The 8,874-nt window shown below is 39.8% G+C and overlaps 1 annotated feature.

The window, feature by feature from the left end:
- Positions 4,188-4,688: an enhancer, noted in NCBI's record as "H3K4me1 hESC enhancer chrX:97058194-97058694 (GRCh37/hg19 assembly coordinates)". NCBI's record gives its function as "activates a minimal SCP1, AML or CMV promoter by ChIP-STARR-seq in naive H9 embryonic stem cells {active_cell/tissue: H9 hESC(naive)}" and the evidence as "EXISTENCE:reporter gene assay evidence [ECO:0000049][PMID:30033119]".

Here is an 8,874-nt window from a genome sequence, read left to right as displayed (position 1 = left end):
TAAAGTGGAATGAGAACTTTAAAAGATCCACAAGAGGAAGTGATATGATAGCTGAGATTTGCTTTAAAATAATTTGGCAGGAGAGTGGGTGAGGTATAGATAAAACCAGATTGTACCTGTAGAGATAATTGTTGAAGCTGGGTGATGAGTATATCATGTTAATTACAGTCAACTTTCTAATTTTAGATATGTTTGCAATTTTCCATAAAATAAACTAAAAAACAAAACGTGTGAAGCAATCTGAATGTAGAATCTTCCTAAACTATTGTAATTTTCCTATCTTCTGCTTTTTTCTCACCCACGCCAAATTTGACGGATTTTTTTCAGCATCCTGTTTTAACTAAGGCTTACAAAGACATTCAGCCGAGATTTCATTGAAGCAACAACTCACTTTGCATTCATATTTCATCAGTTTATATAATAGTTAATTAAATCACATAATTATATTATTATGCACAACTGGCATAAATAGATTTGGAACAAGCTCAACTAATGTTTGGTAAGCGTACAACTTAAATGATTGAAGCAGAAATGTCTGGGCGAACTAGATATTTCCAGCCACACTACTTCTAACCACTCTATTAGCCACAAGCAGTTAGTATACCATGGCCATTCCTTGCTGGGTCTTACTGTTAATTAATTCAGTGGCTGATTAAGCAGAAGTTCACAAAGAGAGAGAGTGTAGTATATACTGCTTACTATTACTGCTACTATTATGATTGTATGTTCTTCTACATTTTTCGAACTGTAACTCTCACTTCATATAAGCCTCTTTCACAATCTCAAACTTGGAAAAGTTGAAGACTTTCATGCTTGCCTTAATTGATCTTCTGGAGTGTAATGGAGGCAGTGGGAGCAATTTTTTCAGTTATTTGTATTTGGCAAGCACAGAGGGTGGGGGTGTTTCATTTCCATATTCTTCTTATTGTATTTTTCTGCTTTCTCACAACCCTCTGATTCAGCTTGTTCCCTTAAAAATAATAGAAGTAGGTTGTTTTATGGACATTGGCTTTGGCAAGAAGCCTGTTTACACTTGCTAAGCCCCCTAGTAGCAATATCAAGAAATTAATTAAAATGCTGAGACCACAGTACCTACCCAGAGAGGCAAAGAATGAGTGTGCTAGTAGTCCCCTGCTCTAAATCTTTGCAATCATTTGTTGAAATACCTTGAGGAAGTAAGTTTCTATTTCACCATGCAGGGTGATATAAGGTGATATGACATGCCAATTTTTTTAAATGATAAAACTATAGGGACTAAAATTTCCTCTTTCTCCTCCTCCCTCCATGACACCTAATAAAGCTGCTTCCAGAATGAAATAGTCATACTGCCCACTGAGTTTCTTTTATCAAACTCATAACTGTGGATGTTGGAAAGGACTGCTTTCCCTTTGTTTAACCACTTTAGTATGACTAACTCATGAACACACAGGAGCAAGGCAATTTGCTCCTCCATTTTCCATCTCCAGTATGCAGCAGCAGCGTGCGTTCTGAGTCACGTAGAGAACACTCTTCAGAATGCATGCTGTAAGCTCAGAGGGGCTAATAATCAAATTAGGCTGCTAACAAATGGCAATTTATAATGCTGAAACTAATGAGAGGTCAAAGAACTAAACTCTGCAAGGAGTTTTAATTATCCTGTCCTTTGTGACTCCACAAGAGCATTTTTAAAGGAACTCTTTCACACAGTATTCAACTGGTACTTTCAGTTTCATTAAGAAGATTTACATAACCTATTACATAAATGGGAAATATGTACTTTATTTCCAAGTAGAGCAGGAACCTAAAACCTTCTTTTCAGGGTTGAAAAGCAAGCACCATCTTGGTTTGATATTCAATTACAATACCACTCATGGAATACCTTCCTTCCTACAGCACTCCTGAATGGAGTAACACAGAGCCTCTGTCTTCAAGGGAATCTCTAGATGAGATAGCATATATAAAGAGAAGAACTCTAACAAACCGACTATAATTGGATTTTTTTTTCTGTCCTTGTTTCCTACGCCATTTTGCTTTTTTCTTTTTATTTCCATTTCCCTCTGCCACATGTTCATCTATACACCACCATCACCACAATCATCACTTCTGCAGGTCAAAGTGCTCTTCATCTTTCATGGCCTAACTTCTTCCTGGGCTTTATTTGGAACAGGTTTGTTTATTTACTTGTTTGTTTGTTTGTTTGTTTGAAAGGGAGTGACAAAATTGATTTAACTGGAGAAAGCCATGATATCAACAGAATGTAGAACCTCTCAGGCAAAAATAAAAACAAAAAGCTGCTATATTCAAAAGCTGCTGTATTCAAAAGCTGGAGAAAAGATTAATTTCGAGGCATTTGAGATTTAAACATCAATAGACTATGAGCACTGCTGATCTGAAAAGACTTTTGCTGCTAAAGCGGTTAATTGTCCAAAGGTAGTGTCCACCCGTCAAGCCAATTTAAGGCCAAAGAATGCATCTGGGCAAAGAGCTTTCTTTTATCCATAACTGTATCGATAAAACAGCAAATAGAACACAAGAAAATGGAGCATATCTGTATCATCAGAGCAGCAAGACAATTGGCCCAAAGCATTGAGGAGTCTGGGTGTTGAACTAGTTGCCCTTTAATTTTGACAAAAAAACAAACCTCAAAACAAAGTATAAAAGCAAATACACTGTACAAGGAAATTGAAAACAATACACATTTTACAAGCTTTCTCCTGGAAAAAAAGACAATGTCTGGAAATTCTTCTGCTAAACTTATCATTGCCACACTCTGCCATATGACATTGCTCTATTGTTCTTTTACATTGTTAGCGCATTGTTTTGTGAGACAGTATACCTTAAGGGTTAAGGACATGTGCCCTAGAGTCAAACTAAATCCCAGTTCTGTCACTTACCAGTCATGTGGTCTGGAGCAAGTTACTTTTTCCTTTTTAAACCTCGGTTTCCTCATTTGTAAAACTGGGATTACAGCAAGGCAGAAAGAGTTTTGGCTTTGGAGCCAAAATTATCCCCTCATTAAAATGGGACTGATCATTATCATGACTTTACAGGGTCATTGTGAGAATTTTAGAACATACATGAAGCACCTGGTAAGAGTTCAATAAATATGTATTTAATACCTACTTCAGAAGGTCATTGTGAGGATAAAATGAGATAATGAATGAAGAGCTTTTAGCTCTGTATAGTAAGTGCTAACTAAGAAGTGCTCAATAAATACTAATAGATGGAAGAAAAAAATTTTCTTGAGCCTGGGGGGCTGTGAATTAAACTAACAAAAGACAAATTAACAGAAGGAGAGGAGTACTATTTTCATTAATATTTATGTACAAGGGAGTTCACAGAAAAGACGTGAAACTCAAAGAAGTAGACTCAGGGGCTTATATATAATTTTAACAAAGGAAATGGGGGTTGGGCTTTGATATAGTTTGGATATTTGTCCCAACCAAAATCTCATACTGAAATGTAACACCCAATGTTGGAGGTGAGGTCTAGTGAGAGGTGTTTGGGTCATGGGGGTGGATCCCTCATGACTTGGTGCTGTCCTCATAGTAGTGAGTGAGTTCTTGGGAGATCCGGTTTTTTTAAAGTGTGTGGCACCTCCCCAATACTTTCTCTTGCTCTTGTTCTCACCATGTAATGTGCCTACTCTCCCTTCACATTCCACCATAAGTAAAAGCTCCCTGAGAACTCCCCAGAAGCTGAGCAGATGCCAGTGCATGCTTGTACAGCCTGCAGAATGGTGAGCCAATTAAATCTCTTTTCTTTATAAATTACCCAGTCTCAGGTATTTCTTTAGCACAATGCAAGAACAGCCTAATACAGGCCTCAAGGGAAGGTAAATCATGAGAAAGTGACTACAAAACAAATGGGAGAGGTTCCAAGATGGCCAAATAGGAACAGCTCCAGTCTACAGCTCCCAGCATGAGCAACACAGAAGACAGGTGATTTCTGCATTTCCAACTGAGGTACCAGGTTCACCTCACTGGGGCTTGTCAGACAGTGGGTGCAGCCCATGGAGCAGGGTGGGGCATCACCTCACCCAGGAAGACAAGGGGTGGGGGAATTCCCTTTCCTAGCCAAGGGAAACCATGACAGACGGTACCTGGAAAATCGGGACACTCCCACCCTAATACTGCACTTTTCCAATGGTCTTAGCAAACCACACACCAGTGGATTATATCCTGTGCCTGGCTCCGAGGGTCCCACACCCACGGAGCCTCACTCACTGCTAGCACAGCAGTCTGAGATCAAACTGCAAGGCGGCAGTGAGGCTGGGGGAGGGGCATGCACCATTTGCTGAGGCTTGAGTAGGTAAACAAAGTGGCCAGGAAGCTTGAACTGGGTGGAGCCCACCGCAGCTCAAGGAGGCCTGCCTGCCTCTATAGACTCCACCTCTGGGGGCAGAGCATAGCTGAACAAAAGGCAGCAGAAACTTCTGCAGACTTAAACGTCCCTGTCTGACAGCTTTGAAGAGAGTAGTGGGTCTCCCAGCATGGAGTTTGAGATCTGAGAATGGACAGACTGCCTCCTCAAGTGGGGCCCTGACCACCGAGTAGCCTAACTGGGAGACACCTCCCAATAGGGGCCGACTGACACCTCATACAGCCAGGTGCCCCTCTGAGACAAAGCTTCCAGAGGAAGGATCAGGCAGCAACATTTGCCGTTCTGCAATATTTGCTCTTCTGCAGCCTCTGCTGGTGATACCCAGGCAAACAGGGTCTGGAGTGGACCTCCAACAAACTCCAACAGACCTGCAGCTGAGGGTCCTGACTGTTAGAAGGAAAACTAACAAACGGAAAGGACATCCACACCAAAACCACATCTGTAAGTCACCATAATCAAAGACCAAAGGTAGATAAAACCACAGAGATGGGGAGAAACCAGAGCAGAAAAGGTGAAAATTCTAACAATCAGAGCACCTCTTCTCCAAAGGAATGCAGCTCCTCGCCAGCAACAGAACAAAGCTAGACAGAGAAAGACTTTGACGAGTTGAGAGAAGAAGTCTTCAGACGATCGGTAATAACAAACTTCTCCGAGCTAAAGGAGGATGTTCGAACCCATCGCAAAGAAGCTAAAAATCTTGAAAAAAGATTGGACAATGGCTAACTAGAATAAACAGTGTAGAGAAGACCTCAAATGACCTGATGGAGCTAAAAACCATGGCACGAGAACTACGTGAAGCATGCACAAGCTTCAGTAGCCAATTTGATCAAGTGGAAGAAAGGGTATCAGTGATTGAAGATCAAATGAATGAAATGAAGTGAGAAGTTTAGAGAAAAAAGAGTAAAAAGAAATGAACAAATCCTCCAAGAAATATGGGACTATGTGAAAAGACCAAATCCATGTCAGATTGGTGTACCTGAAAGTAATGGGGAGAATGGAGCCAAGTTGGAAAACACTCTTCAGGATATTATCCAGGAGAACTTCCCCAAATTAGCAAGGCAGGCCAACATTCAAATTCAGGAAATACAGAGAATGCCACAGAGATACTCCTCGAGAAGATCAACTCCAAGACACATAATTGTCAGATTCACCAAAGTTGAAATGAAAGAAAAAATGTTAAGGGCAGCCAGAGAGAAAGGTCGGGTTACCCACAAAGGGAAGCCCATCAGACTAACAGTGCATCTCTCAGCAGAAACTCTACAAGCCAGAAGAGAGTGGGGGCCAATATTCAACATTCTTAAAGAAAAGAATTTTCAACCCAGAATTTCATATCCAGCCAAACTAAGCTTCATAAGTGAAGGAGAAATAAAATACTTTACAGGCAAACAAATGCTGAGAGATTGTGTCACCACCAGGCCTGCCTTACAAGAGCTCCTGAAGGAAGCACTAAACGTGGAAAGGAACAACCAGTACCAGCTACTGCAAAAACATGCCAAATTGTAAAGACCATCGATGCTAGGAAGAAATTGCATCAACTAACGAGCAAAATAACCAGCTAACATCATAATGACAGGATCAAATTCACACATAACAATATTAACCTTAAATGTAAATGGGTTAAATGCTCCAATTAAAAGATACAGACTGGCAAATTGGATAAAGAGTCAAGACCCATCAGTGTGCTGTATTCAGGAGAACAATCTCACATGCAGAGACACACATAGGCTCAAAATAAAGGGATGGAAGAAGATCTACCAAGCAAATGGAAAACAACAAAAAGCAGGGGTTGCAATCCTAGTGTCTGATAAAACAGACTTTAAACCAACAAAAATCAAAAGAGACAAAGAAGGCCATGACATACTGGTAAAGGGATCAATTCAGCAAGAAGAGCTAACTATCTTAAATATATATGCACCCAATACAGGAGCACCCAGATTCATAAAGCAAGCCCTTGGAGACCTGCAAAGAGATTTAGACTCCCACATAATAATAATGGGAGACTTTAACACCCCACTGTCAACATTAGACAGATCAACAAGACAGAAAGTTAACAAGGATAGCCAGGACTTGAACTCAGCTCTGCACCAAGCAGACCTAATAGACATCTACAGAACTCTCCACCCCAAATCAACAGAATATACATTCTTCTCAGCACCACATCGCACTGATTCCAAAATTGACCACACAGTTGGAAGTAAAGCTCTCCTCAGCAAATGTGAAAGAATGGAAATTATAACAAACAGTCTCTCAGACCACAGTGCAATCAAACTAGAACTCAGGATTAAGAAACTCATTCAAAACTGCTCAACTACGTGTAAACGGAACAACCTGCTCCTGAATGACTACTGGGTACATAACGAAATGAAGGCAGAAATAAAGATGTTCTTTGAAACCAATGAGAACAAAGACACAACATGCCAGAATCTCTGGGACACATTTAAAGTAGTGTGTAGAGGGAAATTTATAGCACTAAATGCCCACAAGAGAAAGCAGGAAAGATCTAAAATTGACACCCTAACATCACAATTAAAAGAACTAGAGAAGCAAGAGCAAACACATTTAAAAGCTAGCAGAAGGCAAGAAATAACTAAGATCAGAGCAGAACTGAAGGAGATAGAGACACAAAAAACCCTTCAAAAAATGAATGAATCCAGGAGCTGGTTTTTTGAAAAGATCAGCAAAATTGATAGACCACTAGCAAGACTAATAAGAAAAGAGAGAAGAATCAAATAGATGCAATAAAAAATGATAAAGGGAATATTACCAATGATCCCACAGAAATACAAACTACCATCAGAGAATACTATAAACTCCTCTGCGCAAATAAATTAAAAAATCTAGAAGAAATGGATAAATTCCTGGACACATACACCCTCCCAAGACTAAACCAGGAAAAAGTTGAATCCCTGAATAGACCAATAACAGGCTCTGAGATTGAGGCAATAATTAATAGCCTACCAACCAAAAAAAGTCCAGGACCAGACAGATTCACAGCTGAATTCTACCAGAGGTACAAAGAGGAGCTGGTACCATTCCTTCTGAAACTATTCCAATCAATAGAAAAAGAGGGAATCCTCCCTAACTCATTTTATGATGCCAGTATCATTTTGATACCAAACCCTGGCAGAGACACAACAAAAAAAGAGAATTTTAGACCAATATCCCTGATGAACATCGATGCAAAAATCCTCCATAAAATACTGGCAAACTGAATCCAGCAGCACATCAAAAAGCTTATCCACCATGATCAAGTTGGCTTCATCCGTGGGATGCAAGGCTGGTTCAACATACGCAAATCAATAAATGTAATCCAGCATATGAACAGAACTAAAGACAAAAAACACATGATTAACTTAACAGATGCAGAAAAGGCCTTTGACAAAATTCAACAGCCCTTCATGCTAAAAACTCTCAATAAACTAGGTATTGATGGGATGTATCTAAAAATAATAAGAGCTATTTATGACAAACCCACAGCCAATATCATACTGAATGTGCAAAAACTGGAAGCATTCCTTTTGAAAACTGGCACAAGACAGGGATGCCCTCTCTCACCACTCCTATTCAACATAGTGTTGGAACTTCTGGCCGGGGCAATCAGGCAGGAGAAGGAAATAAAGGGTATTCAATTAGGAAAAGAGGAAGTCAAATTGTCCCTGTTTGCAGATGACGTGATTGTATATTTAGAAAACCCCATCATCTCAGCCCCAAATCTCCTTAAGCTGATAAGCAACTTCAGCAAAGTCTCAGGATACAAAATCAACGTGCAAAAATCACAAGCATTCCTATGCACCAATAACAGACAAACAGAGAGCCAAATCATGAGTGAACTCCCATTCACAATTGCTTCAAAGAGAATAAAATACCTAGGAATCCAATTTACAAGGGATGTGAAGGACCTCTTCAAGGAGAACTACAAACCACTGCTCAACGAAATAAAAGAGGACACAAACAAATGGAAGAACATTCCATGCTCATGGATAGGAAGAATCAATATCATGAAAATGGCCATACTGCCCAAGGTAATTTATAGATTCAATGCCATCCCCATCAAGCTACCAATAACTTTCTTTTCTTCACAGAATTGGAAAAAACTACTTTAAAATTCATATGGAACCAAAAAAGAGCCTGCATTGCCAAGAGAATCCTAAGCCAAAAGAACAAAGCTGGAGGCATCACACTACCTGACTTCAAACTATACTACAAGGCTACAGTAACCAAAACAGCATGGTACTGGTACCAAAACAGAGATATAGATCAATGGAACAGAACAGAGCCCTCAGAAATAACGCCGCATATCTACAACTATCCGATCTTTGACAAACCTGAGAAAAACAAGCAATGGGGAAAGGATTCCCTATTTAATAAATGGTGCTGGGAAAACTGGCTAGCCATATGTAGAAAGCTGAAACTGGATCCCTTCCTTACACCTTATACAAAAATTAATTCAAGATGGATTAAAGACTTAAATGTTAGACCTAAAACCATAAAAACCCTAGAAGGAAACCTAGG

The sequence above is a fragment of the Homo sapiens genome, chromosome X (assembly GCF_000001405.40).
Source record: "Homo sapiens chromosome X, GRCh38.p14 Primary Assembly".
NCBI classification, from domain to species: Eukaryota; Metazoa; Chordata; class Mammalia; order Primates; family Hominidae; genus Homo; species Homo sapiens.
This window is presented reverse-complemented; position numbering and strand designations above follow the sequence as displayed.